This window comes from Homo sapiens, chromosome 19 (genome assembly GCF_000001405.40).
Source record: "Homo sapiens chromosome 19, GRCh38.p14 Primary Assembly".
NCBI lineage: Eukaryota > Metazoa > Chordata > Mammalia > Primates > Hominidae > Homo > Homo sapiens.
Genome location: NC_000019.10, coordinates 55908302 through 55933526, shown reverse-complemented (window position 1 = coordinate 55933526; position 25225 = coordinate 55908302). Strand labels below are relative to the sequence as shown.

Below are 25225 nucleotides of genomic sequence, written 5' to 3'. Positions count from 1 at the left end.
TCTCTTCTGGAGATTTCTCTTTGGGAGACATTCGGGGGTCACACACCAGTAGCTTCAAGCATAGTGTTTTGGGCCAGGCATGGTGGCTCATGCCTGTAATCCCAGCATTTTGGGAGGCCAAGGCCAGTATGCACCTGTAGTCCCAGCTACTCGGACGCTGAGGCAAGAGAATCACTTGAACCTGGGAGGCAAAGACTCCAGTGAGCCGAGATCCAGCCATTGCACTCCAGCCTGGGCAACGAGAGCGAAACTCCATCACAAAAAAAAAAGTCTTTTGTTCTGCTGTCTATCTGTTGCCTTCAATACTACCTGGTATTTTGACATGACCCAGCATACATGCCGGACCAGGTTCTATGGGGGAATAGTGGCAGATCTGTCTCAATCACCATTAGCTGCCTGGTGGCCAAAATCGTGATGGGCGGAAACTTCTATTTTCTCTCTTTGTTACCCCTTCTCCCTGATTAGTTTCCCCCGTTCCCATCTCTCAAATGTCTTTGATCTTTACTGTGACTAATTAACTTCAATGTTCTTCTTATTCACATTTCAGGTGAACCCTCTGAATGTGAGTTGGTAAGTACCATCATGCACCTGTAACTTTTCTAGGACAGCTGTCACTGTTAGTAAGGCAGATAAATCAGGTGCTGATGGCATTGTTCCTTCTGGGATGGGATGAAAGCCAGTGATCTCGAGTCTAGGTAAGGTTGCTAGAGAAAATACCCAGTTGAGGCCGGGCCCGGTGGCTCACGCCTGTAATCCCAACACTTTGGGAGGCCGAGGCGGGCGGATCACAAGGTCAGGAGATCGAGACCATCCTGGCTAACACGGTGAAACCCCATCTGTACTAAAAATACAAAAAAAACTAGCTGGGCGTGGTGGCGGGCACCTGTAGTCCCAGCTACTCAAGAGGCTGAGGCAGGAGAATGGCGTGAACCCGGGAGGCGGAGCTTGCAGTGAGCCGAGATCGCACCATTGCACTTCAGCTTGGGGGACAGAGCGAGACTCCATCTCAAAAAACAAAACAACAACAAAAAAGTGTACTAACACAAGTAGCAGGAAGTACTGTGAAGCGAAAATACTCAAATGTGTAGGCAAGACAGTGAGAGGAGGTGATATTTATGGCTTATGATTTCAACTCTCTCCTTTTCTGCAGGTCACAAGTGTCCTGTGGATATAGGAGTCCTTTGCTGAAGTGAGAAACTGCATGTGTTGGGCAAGATGAACTTTTCTGTAATCACCTGCCCCAACGGTGGTACCAACCAAGGGCTTCTGCCTTACCTGATGGCCCTGGATCAGTATCAGCTGGAGGAATTCAAGCTTTGCTTGGAACCCCAGCAGCTGATGGACTTCTGGTCGGCCCCCCAGGGGCACTTCCCGCGTATCCCCTGGGCAAACTTGAGAGCTGCCGACCCTTTGAATCTGTCCTTTCTTTTGGATGAACACTTCCCAAAAGGTCAGGCATGGAAAGTGGTCCTCGGCATCTTCCAGACAATGAATCTGACCTCACTGTGTGAGAAAGTTAGAGCCGAGATGAAAGGTGAGAGTCCTCAAGAAGGAAGGCGGGAGGGCTGCTTGGTACTCCTGAGGCAAGGAGGTAGCCGCTGGGTTTTTGTGGGGTCATTCCACACTGCCGATCTCCCCCTACAAATCCTCCTTGATAATCTATGACAGTATGATGTTTAAAGGCATAAAGGCTATAAAGATTTAGTGCTCTAGCCTGGGAAGGAGTAGCAAAGGCAAGAAAGGGAATCGGAAGAGGCACATTCAGTTATGTTATAAGCCTTTTTCTTTCTTTCTTTCTTTCTTTTTTTTTTTTTTTTGAGCCTGAGTCTCCACTCTGTCGCCCAGGCTGGAGTGCAGTGGTGCGATCTGAGGTCACTGTAACCTCTGCCTCCCAGGTTGAAGCGATTCTCCTGCCTCAGCCTCCCAAGTAGCTGGGACTACAGGCGCCCGCCACCACACCCGGCTAATTTTTTTGTATTTTTAGTAGAGACGGGGTTTCACTGTGTTAGCCAGGATGGTCTCAATCTCCTGACCTCGTGATCTGCTCGCCTCGACCTCCCAAAGCACTGGGATTACAGGCGTGAGCCACCGCGCCCAGCCCAGGCTTCTTTTAAACATGCAAATTTGTCCCAGTGTGATTGTCGTACTGGGAACAATTTGAGTGCAGCACAGATTTCATGTTAGCTTATGCATGGTTTTGCCCAAGAGAAACACTAAGAAACCACAACAACCCCCGCCCTGCCCCCGCAACCCACCGACCCTGCACTCAGCCGAGCAGAGCCATGTAGGATTGTACACAATGCACACAGGCATGTACCTCAAACATCTACCCGCTTCCTCAGTACGAGCCTTGCCCATTCTACACTTTCTGTCTGATTTCAGATCATTGTTCTTTCACTTCACAAAAACTCACAAGCTGCGACACTTCCCATATTCACAAGCAAAGTTCATGTTTTACTCAGGGTAAAGTTTCATGCCACATCTTCTGTGGCATTGCAAGACCTGCTGAGGTGTTACAGGGCTGATTGTGGTGTTGTAGGATCGTGCAGTGTTTATTGTGGTAATAAAGTGTTTTGTAATTAATCAGCAAGTATAAAACCATGCTGTTTAAGCTTCTGGTTAAAATTTTATATATATATATATATATATATAATCACTGATTCTATCTCCTGTAAGCCGTCTGGTCTTAGTGCACCATGTAATCTGCTGTGGTGAGTTTTCAGAATGCACACATCACTTTATAAAAGAACTGACTGCCTATGAGAGCTGTTGAAAATAATCATGTTTCCTGGTGCCTGTTATAAACCAGACATTGACTCTTTTTTTTTTTTTTTTTTTTTGAGATGGAGTTTCCTTCTTGTCACCCAAGCTGGAGTACAATGGTGTGATCTTGGCTTACTGCACTCTCCGCCTCCTGGGTTCAAGGGATTCTCCTGCCTCAGCCTCCCGAGTAGCTGGGACTACAGGCACCTGCCACCATGCCCGGCTAATTTTTGTATTTGTAGTAGAGACGGGGTTTTGCCATGTTGGCCAGGCTGGTCTCAAACTTCTGACCTCAGGTGATTTGCCTGCCTCAGCCTCCCAAAATTCTGGGATTACAGGCGTGAGCCACCATGCCTGGCTATAAACCAGGCATTTATCTTAATGCTGTCTATACATTTGTACTGACTCTTCACTATATTTATAAGAAGGAGGTCCTATTACTTGTATCTTACAGAGAAGGAAACTGAGGCACAGACAGCTTAAGTAAATTTCCCAAAGTCACAGAGCTGGTGACCAGGAGAGCTGGGACATGAGCCCAGGCAGTGTGTCTCCAAAGGCTCTGTGCTTGACCTTGTACAGCTTCTCCTACCCTCAAATGAGTGAGTTCTAAGGAAGGAGAGTGGGCAATACTGAGTCTTCCATATCAGAACCCTGGACACGGGGCATGCGGAGTCATACAAGTTCGGGCTTTGTGTATCTTCTGGTGGAAAGGAGGATGAGATGGAGACTAGAACACCACTCCACCCTTTTTCCCTGTCCCTCTCTCATTTTTAAAGCCCTCAGATACTCTTGTTTGGAATAGGCAGATGTAAAGCAGAAAACTAGGGAATGAGATTTAGAATTCTTTTTTTTACTGTCTTAATTTCTTTTCTTTTCTTTTTTTTCAAAGAACCAACTTTAGGCTTTATTGATTTCTCTATTGCATGCTTTGTATTGCATTGATTTCTGATTTTATCTTTATTATTTTCCTCTTTCTACTTTCATTTTTTTATTATACTTCAAGTTTTAGGGTACATGTGCACAACGTGCAGGTTTGTTACATAGGTAGACACATGCCATTGTGGTTTGCTGCACCGATCAACCCATCATGTACATTAGGTATTTCTTCTAATACTATCCCTCCCCTAGCCCCCCACCCACTGACAGGCCCAGTGGGTGATGTTCCCCTCCCTGTGTCCATGTGTTCTCATTGTCCAGCTCCCACTTATGAATGAGAACATGCGGTGTTTGGTTTTCCGTTCCTGTGTTAGTTTGCTGAGAATGATGGTTTCCAGCTTCATCTATGTCCCTGCGAAGGACATGAACTCATCCTTTTTTACGGCTGCATAGTATTCCATGGTGTATATGTGCCACATTTTCTTCATCCAATCTATCATTGATGGGCATTTCGGTTGGTTCCAAGTCTTTGCTATTGTGAACAGTGCTGCAATAACCATATGTGTGCAAGAGTCTTTATAGTAGAATGATTTATAATCCTTTGGGTATATACCCAGTAATGGGATTGCTGGGTCAAATGGTATTTCTAGTTCTAGATCCTTGAGGAATCGCCACACTGTCTTCCACAATGGTTGAACTAATTTACACTCCCACCAACAGTGTAAAAGTGTTCCTATTTCTCCACATCCTCTCCAGCATCTGTTTCCTGACTTTTCAATGATCGCCATCCTAACTGGCGTGAGATGGTATCTCATTGTGGTTTTGATTTGCATTTCTCTAATAACCAGTGACGATGAGCTTTTTTTCATGTTTGTTGGCTGCATAAATGTCTTCTTTTGAGAAGTGTCTGTTCATATACTTCGCCCACTTTTTGATGAGATTTTTTTTTCTTGTAAATTTAAGTTGTTTGTAGATTCTGGATATTAGCCCTTTGTCAGATGAGTAGATTACAAAAATTTTCTCCCATTCTGCAGGTTGCCTGTACACTCTGGTGACAGTTTCTTCTGCTGTGCAGAAGCTCTTTAGTTCAATTAGATCCCATTTGTCAATTTTGGCTTTTGTTGCCATGCTTTTGGTGTTTTAGTCATGAAGAAAGGATATCAGAGATTGAAAATAGAGATTTAGAACTCTTAAATTCTGTTTCCAACTGAATATCTCTCTTTATAGAGACCTGGAGAGAGGAATTAGCACAGAGGAGAATGCTCTCAAAGGAAGAACTTACTTTCTTGTTGCTGATTTTTAAAAATATAAACTTAAAAGTTTTTGGATACATAGTAGGTGTCTATATTTATGGGGTACATGAGATATTTTGATACTGGCATGCATTGGGTAATAGTCACAGGGGTAAATGGAGTGTGTCCATCACCTCAAGCATTTATCCTGTTTCTTGTCACTGATGTTTTTAAAATTTAAACTTAAATTTAAAAAATTCTGGATACTTAGTAGGTGTATATATTTATGGGGTACATGAGATATTTGGATACAGGCAAGTGATGCGTCATAACCACATCAGGGTAGATGGGGTGTCCCTCCCGTCAAGCATTTATCCTTTGTTTCTTGTTGCTGATTTCGAATGGCGGCATAAACTTCCTGCCTGAAGGCTGCAGGGCCAGGCGGGGCACATCACAGGAGCCCCGTTTCCCTGGTCCTTGTCTTGTTCCTACTTGGCCTTCTAAAGGCGTGGGTCATGGGGAAGATACCTCTCAAGTAGGAGAAAGCCCTGGGCCACATCCACCTCACCAGCCATGCAGGGGACGATAAAAGCTCAGCAGTTGGATCAGGTGGTTCTTAGTGCCCTGTTAGCCCCATCATCTAGGAAACTGTACCATGAGTATTTCTGTACTTGACCAGTGTTGTGGGATATGCATCTGAGAGTGAGTTTGCGGACACAACTGTGTATACAGGGACCCACGTACTGTCTTTTGGGGACTATTGGCTTAAGGGCTCAGGTTCTGGAGTCAGGATGTCTGGATTCAAAGGCTAGTTCCATTTGACCAACGGTAACCTTGGACAAGTGATTTTTACCACGGGGCCACAATTCTTTCTTAAACTGGGGTCACTGTTCCAACCTCTACATTTCTAGAGTGAAATGCTTAGAAGGCACTGGGCACAGAGTAGGAACTTGCATGTTAGTTGATCTTTGGGGTAGTTTTTTTTATCTGAAAGCGTCACTTGCCCTGGTGGTTTATGGATGATTGTTTAAGCATGGTGCCTGGCCAGCAGTATCAGAGCTGGGAGAGTGTCACCTCACTACACACACACCCTCTACCCCACCCAAGGATATGTCTGTGAATTTGCAGTGGAAGAATCTATTTCAGGCTTCCACAGGTGTACAAATGGAAGTCCAGAACTGGGATTTTTTTTTTTTTTTAAGGAATTAGACTTTATTTCACAGGCAAAGGAGAATAATCGAAGGCAAATGTGTCATATAGTTTTCACTCTTTTTTTTTTTTTTTTTCCTAGATGGAGCCTCGCTCTGCCACCCAGGCTGGAGTGCAGTGGCATGATCTCGGCTCACTGCAACCTCTGCCTCCGGGTTCAAGCGATTCTCCTGCCTCAGCCTCCCAAATAGCTGGGAGTACAGGCGCCCACCACCACACCCAGCTAATTTTTGTGTTGTTATTAGAGATGGGGTTTCCCCACGCTGGCCAGGCTGGTCCCAAACTCCTGACCTGGTGATCTGCCTGCCTCAGCCTCCCAAAGTGCTAGGAGTACAGGTGTGAGCCAATGTGCTGGGCTGGTTTTTACCTTTTATACTTAAATCTATTCTCTCTTTTGGGTTGGTTTTTTTTTTCTCCTGTATAAGGTGTAAAGTTTAGGTTGCTACCCCTTTTCTTCTTATTTTTTCCACCTATAGATATCCATTGGCTCCAGCACCATTTGTTGAAAAGAGCTCTTTATCTATTGAATTGCTTCTGCATCTTTGTCAAAAATCATTTGGCTATGCTTGGGTGGAATTCATACTTTTCAAAGTTATTTCATTATATACATAAAAGTTTAAAATTACTCTATATTCTTCATGCATTGCATTTTAAATTATGTAGGAATCATTTCCCAGTAAAGCATTTTTTTGGGGGGACCTTTAAGACAAGGCCAAGATTTCCCCCACCACCCTCCGCATGGGCAGTGAGGTTTAACATGCAATGGGAACAGGGACCACATTGACTTAAGTGCATAATTATGTGTAAATCACCGGTGCTTCCCTACATTGAGGGGTTGCTAGGATTAGGATAAAGACACCACTAAGTAAACCTATGGAGCCTGGGGGGAGTAATGTTGGGTGTAGGAAGGGTAGGCTGGTTACCTAAAACATGCTCCTCTGGCATTTAAAACATACTCAGATAAGTGCGCCTCACCAGAGAATGGAGGAATGCCTAGGCCTGGTGAGTGACCAGTGGAACTTCCATATGCCCGCTCTTCGCTATTCCTTCATGTCCTTGCAAAGTTCCCTAAGCATGAGGGAGAATAAGTGAAAACTTACTAATTTTTAACCTTTGTTTTCTCTTTGCAGCCATGTACTAGTCCTGCTAGGCTGTTCATCTGGAATAGCCTGGCTTTTCTGACAGGTGGTCCCAGCTAAATTGGAGTCTTAAATTTAATCTATGAAGATCCAGATGGTGATGCCTGATACTTGACAGTAAAGCTATAACCTGGAAGGCTCACATCGTTGGATTCGTTTGCAACAGAGGAATGCCACATGTCAAACAGTTGGCTTTTGGATAAACAGAGCCAGTGAAGAGGGGAAAATCGTCTACTTTTCCTCTGCTTGGGCTATGGCTAGGAAAAGGTTCCCACTCGGGCTCCCTGCTTCCAGGAGAGTTAGAATTCAGGACAGACTTCAGCTTGAAATATGTGGACGTAGGGCTCAGACTCCACAGGTAGGGTCTGTGGAGCTTCAGAGAGCTGGGATTATTTGGCCTAGGCTAACATGGGTGTAGAATGATGGATTCTTGTTCTTTGAAGGAACATGGAACATCTGGAGGAAGTGCAGGACACAGCTTGCTAACCAGAACAAGCCATGTAAACAGTGACAAGCAATGGAGTTGTAAATATTAGAGCCATATCTCTAGATGCAAATCCCTTACAAGGTATTGTCCTGTAGCAGCTATGTACTACACAGTAAAGTGAGTTTGGCCACTGTGAGTTATAGAAGAGGTCTTCTAGCTCATGAGGAAGGGGACATTCAGAGTGGTGATGTGCAGCAAATTGAGGGACTTGGTTTGAACCCAATTCTTGGTGCTTTTATTCCTACAGTATTCTACTCCAAAGATATTAGAGTGGCTTCTCTGTGTGGGGTACTGTTCTACACACTTGGGATGAATCCGTAAACAGACTAGCCATCTCCCTAGACAGGCAATAGACATAACGCATAAATCACATGGTGTGTTAAAAGGTGACAAGTGCAAACGGAGGATAAGGCAGATGGGGAGAGGCTAAGGTATGTTATTAAAGATATAGGTGGTAGTCATGATTAGGATTATCAGGCACCATTGTGGAGGTAAGATTTCAGCAGAGCCTTGAGAGTGAGCTAAGCAGATGTCTGGGAATCCAGGCAGCGGGGAGGGCTGGAGCCAAGGCCCTGAGGCAGGAATGTGCTTAGCGTGTGCTGTGGACTTTCCAGAGTGCACACTGCATCTTCAGTTGGGCTAATGGAGCTTGAGAAAACTGGAGGAATCAGACCTTCAAACTCCAGTTTGTCATAGAAGGAGTTGGTTCTACTGAGAGACTCCATTATTGCTGGTCCATTTTCAGTCTGGGTATTCTCATATGTCATCATCACTGTTTGTTTCAGAGAATGTGCAGACCCAAGAGCTGCAAGATCCAACCCAGGAAGATCTAGAGATGCTAGAAGCAGCAGCAGGTGTGTACACTACTTTAAGTTGATAATGGACAGGTTGCTTGATGGAGCACTCATTCACTGGTCCACATCCGCTGCCTACTCTGAAATTTCTTGAATTTATAGTGCATAAAAAATTAAAAACTTTCCAACTAATTCTTTCAGTATTGCTTATTAAATGATAACTTACTGTAAACTGGGCATACTGATTCCTCCAGTCTCTTCAATCCCGTTTGCCATAGAAAAAGTTGGTTCTACTGGGGGCTTCCATTATTGCTGGCCCATTTTCACTCTGGGGTATTTTCATATCTCATCGTCAATGTTTATTTCAGGGAATATGCAGACCCAGGGATGCCAAGATCCAAACCAAGAAGAACTAGACGAGCTAGAAGAAGAAACAGGTGTGTACATTACTTGGTTGATAATTGACAGGTTGCTTGATGGAACACTCGTTTCATTGGTCCACATTTGCTGCCTATGCTGAAATTTCTTGAATTTATGGTACATAAAAAATTAAAAACTCTTTCCATCTAGTTCTTCCAGTATTTCTTATTAAATAATAACTTACGGCTGAGTAGAACGGCTCATATCTGCAATTCCAGCACTTTGGGAGGCCAAGGTGGGCAGATCACTTGAAGTCAAGAGTTTGAGACCAGCCTTGCCAACATGATGAAACTCCATCTCTACTAAAAATACAAAAATCAGCCAGGCCTGGTGGTGTGTGCCTGTAATCCCAGCTACTCAGGAGGCTGAGGCAGGAGAATCTCTTGAACCCAGGAGGCAGATGTTGCAGTGAGCCAAGATGGTACCACTGCACTCTAGCGTGGGCAACAGAGTGAGACTCCATTTCTTAAAAATAAATAAAAAATATAAACTGGGCATGCTGATTTCTCCAGTCTCTTCACTCTCAAGTTTGCCATAGAAAGAGTTGGTTCTACTGAGAGTCTTTATCATTGTGGCCCATTTTCAGTCTGGGGTATTTTCATATCTCATCATCACTGTTTATTTCAGGGAATGTACAGGCCCAGGGATGCCAAGATCCAAACCAAGAAGAACCAGAGATGCTAGAGGAAGCAGGTGTGTATACTACTTTATGTTGATAATGGACAGGTTGCTTGACGAGCATTGGTTTCACTAGGTCCATAGTAGAGTTGCCTCATACTGACATTTTCTTCAGTTTATGGTATGCAATAAATTAAAAGCTCTTCCCAACTGGTTCTTCCAGTACAATTTGTTGAAAAATGCCAGGTCCAACCCGCAGACCCTGGCCGAACAACGAATGAAAAAATGCACTCAGACACAGATATCCAGTGAAAGAGCAGGCTAGGGGACTGGGCTGCCCACAGATACTGAGGAGGGTGCTATAAAGAGTCAGCAGCTGCTGCCCTGACAAGCTGGCACTGCGGGCATTTATTTAGAACAGATTTAATGACAAAGGCCTTGAGTCAACACACTTGTGGGCAATTCACATGGTGGTGCCCCTTCCACCCCCTACTCCTGCGCGTGGGTGATGAAAGGCCAGGTTTCTGGAGGCATGATAAACAAGCTATTCAGATAAACTTCCCTGCATTCTTCTGTACCTACTACTTGGCCTTTGCCCCAGGGTAAGAACCATGCCTTCAGCTCATTCTTCCCCAAAGCTTTGCAACCCCCTCTCCCCCAGCCTTCCAAGAAAGTTTGCATTTTTCCTACAACTTCTCCCACCACCCTGACTGATCTCCTACAGAAAAATAGGTTACTATAAACGGGATTCTCTGTTTTTCCTGTAGGTTCTCACACACTGGTGTCTGCTTCTGGACTTGGTGCTTTTGTTAAATAACTGATATTGAGATTACCTTTTAACAGGTGAATTAATAGGCATCTGTAGTTTTTGTACCAGTGGCCCTATGGAGATTGTCACTCTGAGAAAGTAAAACATACATTCTAGTTCTAAGTTTAGTTTTATCAAAGAAGTACATGTGCATGTATACAAGCCCCAAAGAATCACAGGGACATAGAGCTTGTAATGCAAAGCATCAATCCTCCCAGCCAGCTCTTGAGGTCTGCTCTACAGAGACATCCACCCACTACTCTTTGGGGCTACTTCTGATATTTGTTTCTATGGTCATAAGTGATTAATATTTCCTGCTATTTCTTAGTTTTCCAATCGGTTATCTACTGACTTCTTGTCATGGTGTTAGGTATCTGTCTTCCCTTCTATCCTCCCATAACATTATCATTTCTCCTGGGTGTAGCAGCATCAGTGTTCAGTATCCTGGGCATATAAATTGATGCTGAGTCTTGGAATGAAGGTTGTATGCTACAGTAGTTTCCTAGGGCCTCTGTTAACCAATTGTATGACAAACTGGATAGCTTAAAACAACTCTGCTGGGCATGATGGCTCACGCCGGTAATCCCAGCACTTGGGGAGGTTGAGGTAGGCAGATCACGAGGTCAAGAGATCAAGACCATCCTGGCCAACATGGTGAAACCCCATCTATACTAAAAATACAAAAATTAGCCGGGCATGGTGGTGTGTGCCTGTAGCTCCAGCTACTTGGGAGGCTGAGGCAGGAGAATTGCTTGAACCTGGGAGGCAGAGGTTGCAGTGAGCCAAGATCATGCCACTGCACTCAAGCCTAGTGACAGAGCAAGACTCCATCTGAAAAAACAAACAAACAAAAAAACAAAAAACAACAATAAAAAAAAAACCTCTTTGAGAGACAGGCCAAATGATACGGTTTGGCTGTGTCTCCACCGAAATCTCATCTTGAATTGTAGCTCCCATAATTCCCATGTGTCATGGGAGGGACCTGGTGGGAGGTAACTGATTCATGGGGTGGATCTTTCCCTCGCTGTTCTCATGACAGTGAGTAAGTCTCCTGAGATCTGATGGTTTTATAAAGGGGAGTTCCCCTGCACATGCCCCCTCACCTCCCACTAGGTAAGTTGTGTCTTTGCTCCTGCTTTGCCTTCTGCCATGATTGCGAGGCCTCCCCAGCCATGTGGAACTGTGAGTCCATCAAACTTATTTTTCTTTATAAATTACCTACTCTTGGGTATGTCTTTACTAGCAGTGTGAGAACAGACTAATATACCAATTAACTGAAATCAACATGTCAGTAGAAAGGCTCTGGGGAAGATCTGTTCTGGTCTCTTCCAGCTCTGGTGGCTTCCAGTATTTCTTGGGTTGTGGCCTCATGACTCTCATCTCCAACTCTGTGGCCTCATTGCCACCTGCTATGTCTTTTCCTCTGAGTGTCTGTGCCTCATCTCCCTCTGCTCCTACTTTAGGATGATATGTGCAATTGTATTAGCCCCCCAGATAATCCAGGATAAGTTCCTCTTCTCCAGATCCTTAACTTAATCTCTTTTTCTGGGATCATAACAGGTAATATTTATTATTCTTTTGCCATATACCTTTGTATGGATGTGTCATGGTTTGTATTTAACCTTTTCCTGTTGACAGAAATCTAGGCTTCCAGCTTTTTAAAAAACATTAAGCAATACTTTGATAAATGTCCATATCATATGTGCATATCCACAAATATTTCTGTAGAAGACATTCTTAAAGTAGGACTCCTAGACAAAAACATATATATATAATCTAAAGCTTATAGTCAAATTGATCCTCTAAAAGGCTGTAACAAAATATCATCCGTTATGATATTGTGGGTGTCTTTTTCCTTCCAAGTATCAATAAAAATTCTTCCAAATATTTGCCAAATTAACAGAAATACTGTCTTGACTCAATATGTGGTTTGCATTCCATTTTGTTACATGGATATATCGTGTAGTGGTAAAGTCTGAGCTTTTGGTGGAGCCATCACCTGAATAGTCTACATTGTACCTATTAAAGGAATTTCTCGTCCCTCAACCCCCTCCTACCTTTCCACCCTTCTGAGTCTTCAACGTCTATTATTCCATTCTATATGTACATATGTACACATGATTTAGTTCCAACTTATAAGTAAGAACTTGCGGTATTTGTTATTCTGTGTCAGACTTACTTCACTTAAGATAATGGCCTCCAGTTCTATCCATATTGCTGTAAGATATATTATCTTTTATGAGTAGTATTCCTGGGTGTGTATATATGTGTATACATACATACATACATACACCACATTTTCTTTATCCAGTCATCCATTAATGGACATTTAGGTTGATTGCGTATCTTTGCTACTGTGAATACTGCTGCAATAAACACAGGAGTGCAGGTATCTTTATGATATGATTTTTTTTTCTTAGAATAGATACCCAATAGTGATACTGTTTGATCAAATGGTAGTTCTATTTTTAGTTCTTTGAGAAATATCCTAATATTTTCATAGATATTGTACTAATTTACTTTCACACCAACAGTGTACAAGTGTTCCATTTTCTGAATCCTTGCCAACATTTGGGTTTTTTGACTGTGGCTTTAATTTGCATTTCTCTGCCTAGTGATAATGAGCATTTTTTTTTTACATGTTTCTTGACTACTTCTATGTCTTCTTTTAAAAAATGTCTGCTTATGTCCTTTCTCCATTTTCTAATGGGATTTTATTTAAATTGAGTTCCTTGTAGGTTCTGGATATTAGCCCTTTGAATGTATACTTTGCAAATATTTTTTCCTATCCTGCAGGTTATCTGTTCACTTGATTACTTCTTTTGCTGTGTAGAAACTTCTTAATTAAGGCATATCAGTTTATTTTTGTTTTTCTTGCATTTGTTTTTGAGGTCTTAGTCATGAATTCTTTGCCAAGGCAATGTCCAGAAAACTTTTCCCTACATTTTCTTCTAGGATTTTTACAGTTTCAGGTCTTACATTTAAATCTCTATTCCATCTTGAGTGAGCTTTTGAATATAGTGAGAGATATGGTCCAGTTTTATTCTTCTACATATGGCTAGCCAGTTTTCCCAGCACCGTTTATTGAATAGAGTGCCCTTTCCCTAGTGCGTGTTTTTATTGACTTTGCGGAAGATCAGCTAGCTGTAGGTATATAGCTTTATTTCTGGCCTCTCTATTCTGTTACATTGATCTATGTTTATTTTTGTACTAGTACCATGCTGTTTTGTTTACTATATCCTGGTAGTATAATTTGAAGTCAGGTAAGGTGATGCATACAGATTTGTCCTTTTTGCTTCTGATTGTTTTGGCTATTAGGGCTCTTTCTTGGTTCCATATGAATTTTAGGATTGTTTTCTCTAATTCTGTGAAATATGTCACTGGGAGTTTGATAGGAATTGCATTGAATTGATATATTGGAAAATATGGTCATCTTAATGACATTTATTCTTATCCACGAGCATTACTTGTGTCATCCATAATTTCTTAAGCTTTTTGTAGTTTTCCTTGTGGAGATCTTTCACCTCTTTGGTTGAATATATTCCTTAGGTGTTTTTTTTTAAGCTATTGTAAATAGATTGCCTTCTTAATTTGGTTCTCAGCTTGATCATTATGGAGTATAGAAAGGCTACTGATATTTGTACATTGCTTTATTTTAATACTAAGATTTTATGAATTCATTTATCAAATCTAGGAGTCTTTTAGAGAAGTCTTTAGAGTTTTCTAGATATAAGATCATATCAACAGATAATTTGGCTTCTTCTTTACAATTTAGATACCTTTTTATTTCTTTCTCTTGCCTGATTGCTCTGGCTATGACTAGCCAGTTTTGTGTTGAATAGGAGTGGTGAAAGTGGGCATCCTTGTCTTGTTCCAGTTCTTGGGGAGAATGCTTTCAACTGTTTCCCATTCAGTATAATGTGGGCTGTGGATTTGTCATATATGGCTTTTATTAGTTTGACATATGTTCCTTTGAAGCTTAGTTTGTTGAGGGTTTTTATCATGAAGGGATGCTGAATTTTACCAAATGCTTCTATGCATCTGTAGAGATGATCATATAGTTTTTGTTTTTAATTCTGTTTATGTGGCGAATCACATTTATTGATTTGTGAGTGTTGAACCGTCCTTGTATTCCTGGGTTAAAACCCACTTGGTCATGGTGTATTATCTTTTTTATGTGTTGTTGGATCAGTTTTCTGGTATTTTGTTGAAGATTTTTGCACTTATGTTCATCAGGGATAGTGGTCTGCAGTTGTCTTTTTGTGTCCTTGTTGAGCTTTGGCATCAGGATGATACTGGCTTAATAAAAGGAATTAGAGAGCACTCCCTCCTCTCCAACATCTTTTTCTGCAACAGTTTCAGTAGGATTGGTACCAGTTCTTCTTTGTATGTCTTGTAGAATTTGGTTGTGAAATACATCTGGTACTGGGATTTTTTTGTTATTAATTTTTTAAATTACTGATTCACTCACTCCTTGTTGTTGATCTGTTCAGGATTTATATTTATTCCTGATTCAATCTTGGTAGGTTGTATGTTCCCAGAAATTTATCTATTTCTTCTTGGGTTTTTAGTTTGTGAGTATAGAGTTGTCCATAGTAGTCTCTGATCATCTGTATTTCTGTTGGCTCAGTTGTAATGTTTCCTTTTTCATTTCTGATTGTTTGTTTGAATCTTCTCTTCTTTCATTAGTTAGTATAGCTAGCCATCTATCAATCTTGTTTATTTTTTAAAGTAACCAAGCTTTGGTTTTACTGATTCTTTGTATTGTTATTTTGGTCTCTATTTCTGCTCTGATTTGTTATTTTTCTTCTAGCTTTGGGTTTGATTTGTTCTTATTCTTTTTCCTTGAGTTGCATTGTTAGGTTGTTAATTTGTGATTTTTTTTTAAATGTAAGCATTTAATGCTATAAACTTTTTTTTTTTTTTTGCTGTATCACAGAGGTTTTGATATGTTGTGTCTCCATTTTCATTAGTTTCAAAAAACTTAATTTCTGTCTTAATTTTGTCATTGACCTAAAGATTGTTTAGGAGCAGTTGTTTAATTTCTGTGCATTTGCATAGTTTCAGGAGTTTCTCTTGAGATTGATTTCTAGTTTTATTTCACTGTAGTCTGAGAAAAATACTTGATATAATTTCCATTTTTAAAAAATTTATTGAGCCTTGTTTTGTAGCCTAACATACGGTCTATTTCAAGGAATGTTCCATGCACTGATGAGAAGAATATATATTCTGCAGTTGAGTAGAAGGTTCTGTAAATGTGTGTCAGTTTCATTTGGTCTAAAGTCCAATTTAAGTTCAGACTTCCTTTGTTGATTTTCTGTCTTGATGATCTGTCTAGTGCTGTCAGTGGGGTGTTGAAGTCTCCCACTATTATTATTTTGCTGTCTTTAGGTCTAATAATATTTGTTTTATGAATCTAGGTACTCTGGTATGGATGTATATATGTTTAGGATTATTATATCTTCTTGAATTGATCCCTTTATCATTATATAAAAATCTTCTTTGCCTTTTTTTAAACTGTTGCTGGTTGAAAGTCTTTCAACTAATATAAGTATAGCTACTCCAGTTTGCTTTTTGTGAAGCAAAGGGGGAAAAGTGGAATCTTTTTCTACACCTTTACCTTCAGTCTATAGTGAAGTAAGATGAGTTTTTTTTTAAGCAGCATATATTTGGCTTATGTTTTAAAATCTATTCCTCCAATTTATATCTTTTAAGAAGCGCATTTAATCCATGTATATTGAAGGTTAATATTGATATATGACCTTTTTTCCAGTTACAATGTTGATTTCCATTTGCTTTGCAGATTTTTTTGTTCTTTTTCTTTGTGATTTGATGGAATTGTGTCATGCTATCATTTGATTTCTTTCTCCTTTGTGTAATTGCTTTATAAGACTGGTGTATTTTATAGTTTTGTGTGTTTTTGTGATGGCAAGTATCAACCTTTTTAGTTCCATGTTTAGAACTCCTTCAAGTATTTCCTGTAGTACAAGTCTAGTAGTGACAAATTCCCTCAGTGTTTGCTTGTCTGAAAAAGACTTTATTTCTTCATTTATAAAGCTTATTGTAGAAGGATACAAAACTTGGGGTTAACAGTTTATTTCTTTAAACAAAAAACCTTTGAAATTCCAATTCCTTCTAGCTTGTAAGATTTCTGCTGAGAAGTCTGCTGTTAGTCTGATGGGTTTTGCTTCATAGGTGACTAGATTATTTTCTCTTACTGATTTTTTTTAGGACGTTTTTTCCTTCACATTAAACTTAGTCTGATGAATAAATATCATAGTGAGGCCCTTCTTGCAATGCATTTTTTTTGGAGTTCATTAATCCTCTTATATTTGGATGCCTGGATCTCTTGCCAGAGTAGGGAAGTTTTTCTCAATTATTTCCACAACAGGTTTTTAAAACTTTTTGCTCTTTCTTCTCCCTCAGGAATGCCTATGATTCATAGGTTCCAACATTGTATGTAGTCCCACGCCTTTTGAAGTCTTTGTTCATTTTCTTAAAATCCTGTTTATTTTTGTCAGACTAAATTAATTCAAAAGACCTTCAAGTTCTGAGATTCTTTCCTCTTCTTTGTCTAATCTGTTGTTGAAACTTTCAGCTATATTTTGTAACTTCAATGAATTTTTCACTTGCAGAAGTTTTATTTGATTTTTCTCTCAAAAATATCTCTTTGATAAATTTCTCATTCATATCCTGAATTTATTTTCTGATTTCTTTGTACAGGTTTTATGATTTCTCTTGGATCTCACTGAGCTTCTTTAAAATCAATATTTTAAATTATTTATCTGGCATTTTTACATTTTCATTTTGGTTAGGATCCATTGCTAGAGAGTTAGTACAATCCTTTGGGGGTATCATAACACCTGAGTTTTTTTAATATGCCAAGAATTGTGCATTAGTTTCTTATCTGAAGAAACTATCACTTCTTATTTTTGCATTTACTGCTGTTTAGATGGGACTATTTTTTCCCTTGAGGATGTGACTATAATGTGTGTTTAGTAGGGTCATTTGGCTTTTCTGAGTGCTTTCATTGACAAAGACTCTATAAATTCCTTGGTTATAGACAGTATTAGTGCAGTGGCTTTCTAAATGTGGTTTTAGTAGTGGTTTACTAGGTGTGTGAGTAGGCTCTTGGTCTCCTGTGGGGCCAGGTTAGTGAGGTCTTAAAGCTTATCTGGTTCCCAAGCACTGTTTACTTGTGTTAGCAGCTTTTGTATTGGGTTGTGTAGTTTGACATCTAGTCCAGTAGATGACACGTGCAGGTTAGAGCCAGCTGCAGCAGTTGCAGTAGCTTTTATGCTTGATTGTTGTTTACCAGGAGAAACTTTCTTGTGCATCAGGCAATGGGCTGGTCTGTGAAATGCATAGGAGCTTGGGCTCCATGATCAGCCATGGAGGGGTGGGAGTGAAGTTGGGTGGGGCTGGACAAGGCAAGCCTATCCTAGCTGATCTCTGCTGGCTGAGTTGGCTTCTCTTCCTTTTTCTGTGCCCCAGCTTCTTCCTATGAGTTCTCTGTTGGGCTCGAATATTCTCTCCTGATACTCTGTTTGAATTGTGATTATCTATTTGTTTTGTTTGTTTTTGAGACAGAGTCTTGCCCCGTTGCCCAGGCTGGAGTACAGTGGTGCGATCTTGGCCTGCTGCAACCTCTGCCTCCCGGGTTCAAGTGATTCTCCTGCCTCAGCCTCCCGAGTAGCTGGGATTACAGGCGCGTGCCACCATGCCTGGCTAATCTTTGTATTTTTAGTAGAGATGGGGTTTTACCATGTTGGTCAGGCTGGTCTCGAACTCCTGACCTCAGGTGATCCACCTGCTTCGGCCTCCCAAAGTGCTGGGATTACAGGCATGAGCCACCGCACATGGCTGTAATTACCTATTTGTAATTTTGGTTCTAAGAACTGGCACCCAATGTCTCCAGTCAGCCATCTCGAACCTCCTTAATCCACAACACTTACTTTTTCTTTGTGGTAAGAACACTTAAAATCTACTTTTTCTGAAGTGTTGAACTATATAACACACTGTTATTAACTACAGTTACATTGCTATGCAGTACATCACAGAACTCGTTCCTCTTGTCTACCTGAAACTTTGTACCCTTTGCTCAAAATTTCTCCTTTCCCTCTCTTTTCCCCGTGCCATTCCCCAGCTTCTAGTAATCACCACTTTATTCTCTTCTTCTGAGTTTTACTTTTTTAGATTCTACATATAAGTGAAATCATCTGGCATTTGTCTTTCTGTGTCTGGCTTATTTCACTTGGCAAGAAGAAATCAGTATGTCAAAGAGATTTTCACTCCCATGTTCATTGCAGCACTATTCACAATAGCCAAGATATGAAATCAACCTAGGTATCCATCAACAGATGAATGGATAAAGAAAATATGGCCTATAGATGCAATAGAATACTATTCAGCCTTTAAAGAGAAGGAAATTCTATCATTTGTGAAATTCTATCATTTGTGACAACACAAATTCTATCATTTGTGATATTATGGTAAGTGAGATAAGTCAGGCACAAAAAGGCAATTACTGCCCCATCTCACTAATATATGGGATCTAAGAATCTTGAACTCATAGAAGTAGAAAGTAGAATGGTGATTACCATTCATTCCTAAATTTTTTGCAGATATGTAATAGTTACATATACTGATGGGGTATATTCTACAAATACATTCTAGTCTGCCAGGTGCCCATTTTCACTTAGATGAAGATAGTAGTAGCTTTCTACTTGTTTTCTCTACCTCCTTTCCTACACTGATGCATCATAATCTATTCTTTATAAAACCTGGAGTTCTAAAAATATAAATTACGGCATCTCATTCCTTGGTTTTCAAAGCAAAGATAATCACGATCCAGCCTCCTACCATGTGCCTTGGTCACTATACTCTAGAATGCTCATTTCTGTCTCAGCATACGTAGTAGGCCCCAGAAGGCCTCTAAGAATCGCTAGCTCAATCACTCCTCACCCCAGCCTCTGTAGAGGTCCTGGCCCTTGTGCTGTGACTGGCCCCACAGTAGTCATTTTGGGAAGAAACCCAGGAATGGGGAGAATGGGAGAGACAAAGCCTTGATCTTCAGGGCAACCTAGAGTCTAAGCCCTCACCAGCTGAAGCTGTCTGGGCACAGGGACCAGGAAAACTGGCAGGCTCTACAGTTACTGATTCCCTTGTGAGTCGAGTCGGGTCAGCCTTCTGTGAGTGGGGGACTCTGACCTGCCCAAATCCCTTGTTGCTCTGAAGTGTTTCGAGGAAGTGAGGAAAACCTGATAGCTGGTGAGGGAAGAGGGCTCATGGGCCCCCTCTACTGGCTAGAAGGTGTCTTTGGGGTGCTGAGCTGGTCAGGCAATGGAGTGGGCACACTCACGAGGCTTGCAGAAAAAAATTCTGGGTGGGCATTCACCTTGGCCTTCCCCCCGCCTGAAAGTACCCCAGACTGACTTCTCTTCTGATGATTCTTCTCCATTCTCAGTGTAGAATCCTCTAGTGAGAGGCTTCTCGCTATGATCCCTTCTCTGCCCTCTCTTAAAGGTGTTCTTGATCGCTCTTATGTTATTCTGTATTTTTCATTTGTATATATCATCAAATTATTTAACTGTCTTCATATTTTGCAACTTTTTTTTTTTTTTTTTTTTTTTGAGACGGAGTCTCACTCTGTCACCCAGGCTGGAGTGCAGTGGTGCCTCTCGGCTCACTGCAACCTCCGCCTCCCGGGTTCACGCCATTCTCCTACCTCAGCCTCCTTTTGCAACTTTCTACCACTGCATTCCCACAAAATCCTGGAAGGCAGAGTTTCTCTTATTCAAGTCTTTGGGGTAGGAACTTTGTAACTGAATCATTCCTAACTCTGAAATTTATTCTTACCATTCTTCTCCCCACTCCGCCCTCTCTAGACCACAGAAGAAAATACAGAGAGAACATGAAGGCTGAACTACTGGAGACATGGGACAACATCAGTTGGCCTAAAGACCACGTATATATCCGTAATACATCAAAGGACGAACATGAGGAACTGCAGCGCCTACTGGATCCTAATAGGACTAGAGCCCAGGCCCAGACGATAGTCTTGGTGGGGAGGGCAGGGGTTGGGAAGACCACCTTGGCAATGCAGGCTATGCTGCACTGGGCAAATGGAGTTCTCTTTCAGCAAAGGTTCTCCTATGTTTTCTATCTCAGCTGCCATAAAATAAGGTACATGAAGGAAACTACCTTTGCTGAATTGATTTCTTTGGATTGGCCCGATTTTGATGCCCCCATTGAAGAGTTCATGTCTCAACCAGAGAAGCTCCTGTTTATTATTGATGGCTTTGAGGAAATAATCATATCTGAGTCACGCTCTGAGAGCTTGGATGATGGCTCGCCATGTACAGACTGGTACCAGGAGCTCCCAGTGACCAAAATCCTACACAGCTTGTTGAAGAAAGAATTGGTTCCCCTGGCTACCTTACTGATCACGATCAAGACCTGGTTTGTGAGAGATCTTAAGGCCTCATTAGTGAATCCATGCTTTGTACAAATTACAGGGTTCACAGGGGACGACCTACGGGTATATTTCATGAGACACTTTGATGACTCAAGTGAAGTTGAGAAAATCCTGCAGCAGCTAAGAAAAAACGAAACTCTCTTTCATTCCTGCAGTGCCCCCATGGTGTGTTGGACCGTATGTTCCTGTCTGAAGCAGCCGAAGGTGAGGTATTACGATCTCCAGTCAATCACTCAGACTACCACCAGTCTGTATGCCTATTTTTTCTCCAACTTGTTCTCCACAGCAGAGGTAGATTTGGCAGATGACAGCTGGCCAGGACAATGGAGGGCCCTCTGCAGTCTGGCCATAGAAGGGCTGTGGTCTATGAACTTCACGTTTAACAAAGAAGACACTGAGATCGAGGGCCTGGAAGTGCCTTTCATTGATTCTCTCTACGAGTTCAATATTCTTCAAAAGATCAATGACTGTGGGGGTTGCACTACTTTCACCCACCTAAGTTTCCAGGAGTTTTTTGCAGCCATGTCCTTTGTGCTAGAGGAACCTAGAGAATTCCCTCCCCATTCCACAAAGCCACAAGAGATGAAGATGTTACTGCAACACGTCTTGCTTGACAAAGAAGCCTACTGGACTCCAGTGGTTCTGTTCTTCTTTGGTCTTTTAAATAAAAACATAGCAAGAGAACTGGAAGATACTTTGCATTGTAAAATATCTCCCAGGGTAATGGAGGAATTATTAAAGTGGGGAGAAGAGTTAGGTAAGGCTGAAAGTGCCTCTCTCCAATTTCACATTCTACGACTTTTTCACTGCCTACACGAGTCCCAGGAGGAAGACTTCACAAAGAAGATGTTGGGTCGTATCTTTGAAGTTGACCTTAATATTTTGGAGGACGAAGAACTCCAAGCTTCTTCATTTTGCCTAAAGCACTGTAAAAGGTTAAATAAGCTAAGGCTTTCTGTTAGCAGTCACATCCTTGAAAGGGACTTGGAAATTCTGGAGTGAGTATTACAAACCATTTCTTTCTCAGCTTTCTCCTGTTTTCTCAGGCTCTGTGCAAATTCTTTCATGCAAAACCAGGGATGTGTTGTCGTTATGTATTCGTGCTTATTTCCGACCAAATGGTCTGGAGCAGCTCTAACTTGAAAGAATGTTGTCCTTTAGGCATCACCTAGTTTCCTAGCTAATCTAATTGATCAACTTAAAGACATCTTTATATCTTAGGCATTGAATATGGAGGGTTTAAGTACCAGGCATTGTGCTAAGACATCTACTTGTATCTAACTGAATGTCCATGACTGAGTGGTTATTAGCTGGGTGTGGTGGCACACACCTGTGGTCCCAGCTACTGGGGGGCTGCGGTGGGAGGATTGCTTGAGCCAAGGAGGCAGAAGTTGCAGCAAGCAGAGATCACATCACTGCACTCCAGCCTGGGCAACAGAGTAAGACCCTGTCTCAAAAACAAAACAAAATAAAAAATAACCTCCCCCAAGGTGAGGCTGATATACATTAATATTTGGGAACCATGGCTCTAACATAGGGACATTTTCCTTTGCTCATCTTTCTCTGTCTCCATCTGCTACAATGCTGAGAGCTGTCAGCCCTCCCAGTGGATCATGGAAGCTAGGGGTGGTCTTGCAACCCCCACACCCTGACAGATGTAGGTTCCCAGGTTGAAGCTATTCTCCTGCCTCAGCCTCCTGAGTAGCTGGGATTACAGGCATGCACCACTACACCTGGCTAATTTTGTATTTTTAGTACAGACGGGGCTTCACCATGTTGGCCATGGTGGTCTCAAACTCCCGACGGTCTCCCAAAGTGGTGGGATTACAGGCGTGAGCCACTGCACCCAGCCACATTAGGAAAATTATAATAATTTTGTTAGGGTTTCTTTCTGTGTCCCGTAGGTTGTATTCTGGGTATTGCTTGAGGCTAATTTGCTCTTATCCGTGTTCTGTCTCTCCCTCATGAAGGACAAGCAAGTTTGATTCCAGGATGCACGCATGGAACAGCATTTGCTCTACGTTGGTCACAAATGAGAATCTGCATGAGCTAGACCTGAGTAACAGCAAACTTCATGCTTCCTCTGTGAAGGGTCTCTGTCTTGCACTGAAAAATCCAAGATGCAAAGTCCAGAAACTGACGTAAGTGTGAGACGCCAGCAGCTCAAGAAGATACCCTAGGAGAATCTCCCAACTTCTCTCTTTTGATGAGTGTGGTTGACTATTTGCCAGAAGGCAAGCTACGTGCTCAGGAGGATAAAATAAACTGTGCTTGTATTTATGAAACTGCTACTTGGGCAAAGTAGGCTGAAATTTTAAAATGCCGATCTATCAAGAATGATCTCGCATTAGAGGCACCTGTGGACAAAGTAATTTTTCCCTAGGGCCTCAGTCCTGTTTTGAGCTGGATTTGAAGGAGTAGAAAACTTCGAGGGTATGGTGGACTCAAAGCACTCAAGAAGAGCTACAGACACGTGTAGTCTGAGACTGCTTCGTGTCTTAAGCAAAAGTAGGTAGTGTTTGATGGGTACTCCTGCATTCAGTGAGTATTGGACATCTCCTGTGTGCCAGGTTCTGTTCTCAGTTCTGAGGTTCTAGCAGTGAAGCCCACAGATAACTCCTGCCATCAGGGATCTTACATTGTGTCAGGGAAGCAAACAAAATCATCAAAATAGGACCCAAGAGGGTGGCATCTCCCAAAGAAAACTGGGGGCTCAGAAAGGATGTATGAGGAGGAAGGTGGCTTGCATTTTTTAGGTAGGAAAGGCAGAAGGGCCTCACTGAAAAGGTATTTGGGTAAAGACCGACTTGACTCAGTGTAGGGAAGGAGGAGGGACTGTGCCCATGGATACCTGGGGAAAAAGAGCATTCCAAGCCAAGAAAACGAGATAGAAGGCACCATGAGGAGAATGTACTTAGTATATTCAAATGATATCAACAAAGCCATCAGGCCTTCTATTACCAATTCTGGACATGTATTTCTGTCCAGTGACATGTTGGAGCCAGCTGCTACAACCTGGTGAGAGCCACTTGTGTGTGTGTACCTATCTTTGTAACTCCATTTAGTGACAGCAAGTGGGCAGATCGAAATTGGCCATGATTGGCTTGGAGAATTTACACCACAGAAATTGGCAAAGCTATAAATTAGGACTTTTTTTTTTTTTCCTGGAGATCCAGTGGTAATATTTATCAGCATACTGCTGCATTTGATGTGTATGTCTTTCCTCTTGGAGGCAACACCAGGGTTTCCTAGGCTTGTCCTGGGATGAATTAGGGAGAAACATGAGCTGCAGAAAAGGGAAAAAGTATGTGAATTAAAAATAGAACCTCTTAAAATAAAGGTGAGCAGGGGGAGGGTCCTCTCTGGAGCTGGAGCACAGCTGTGGACTAAAGCGTATTGGTCCCCTGCTAATATGATCCAAGGAGGAATGAATGACAGTGTCTCAGATCTGGCTTGAAGATAGGAAGGAATTAGCAAATGGAGGTGGACCTTGTATAACAATTAAGCCGGGGGGGAACTATAGAGGAGAGAGTAATGCGTAGCTTTGAATCTGAGGTGGGATTTGTTTGAATGATCTGGTGTCTAGGCCAATGAATTCTACCTTGCTTTTCCCCCACCATTAGGTCTTACTTTTCAAGGTCTAAAGCCTAGATGTGTGCATTGATTCAACCAGTTAAGAGTGAAAGGTTTGATCGTAACTTTCCTCAAACCTCAGTGTATTGGGTGAGCTGGACCAAACTCATGAGAGGCAGGCAGAGGGGGCTGTGGCCTTCATTTATTTTTTTAAAATACATTTAAGTTCAGGGGTACAAGTGTATGTCACTAGGTAAATGTGTGTCATGGGGTTTGTTGTACAGATTATTTCATCACCCAGATATTAATCCCAGTACCCATTAGTTATTTTTCCTGATCCTCTGCCTTTTCCCACTCTTCACCTTCCAACAGGCCCCAGTGTTCCTCACTATGTGTCCATGTGTTCTCATCATTTAGCTCCCACTTATAAGTGAGGACATGTGGTATTTTGTTTTCTGTTCCTGCATTAGCTTCCTAAGGATGATGGCCTCCAGCTCCATCCATGTTCTTGTAAAGGACATGATCTCATTCTTTTTTTATGGCTGCATAGTATTCCATGGTGTATAGGTGCCACATTTTCTTTGTTTGGTCCATCATTGATGAGAATTTAGGTTGATTTCCTGTCTTTGCTATTGTGAATAGTGCTGCAATGAACGTACGTGTGCATATGTCTTTATAATAGAACGATTTACGTTCCTTTGGGCATATACCCAGTAATGGGATTGGGCAGTCTTCTTTTTAAATTTTTCTTTTAATATTAAACTTTTGGTCGTACTTAGTTCTCAAGATAAGGAGAAAGAAGTTCAGAAAATGCAAGAGAGTTATTGCT

General features: G+C 41.7%; 1 protein-coding gene across 2 annotated transcripts in view; it reads left to right on the top strand.

The window, feature by feature from the left end:
• Positions 1191–25225, top strand: part of NLRP13 (NLR family pyrin domain containing 13) — a 40645-nt gene continuing 16610 nt past the window's right edge. For both annotated transcript variants that reach the window (NM_001321057.1, NM_176810.2), the window contains exons 1-6: positions 1191–1534; positions 8492–8560; positions 8869–8937; positions 9548–9613; positions 20234–21821; positions 22794–22964. In NM_001321057.1, coding sequence (NP_001307986.1) covers positions 1216–1534; positions 8492–8560; positions 8869–8937; positions 9548–9613; positions 20234–21821; positions 22794–22964 — 2282 coding nt within the window. In that variant the 5' untranslated portion in view covers positions 1191–1215. The remainder of the gene's footprint in view (positions 1535–8491; positions 8561–8868; positions 8938–9547; positions 9614–20233; positions 21822–22793; positions 22965–25225) is intronic.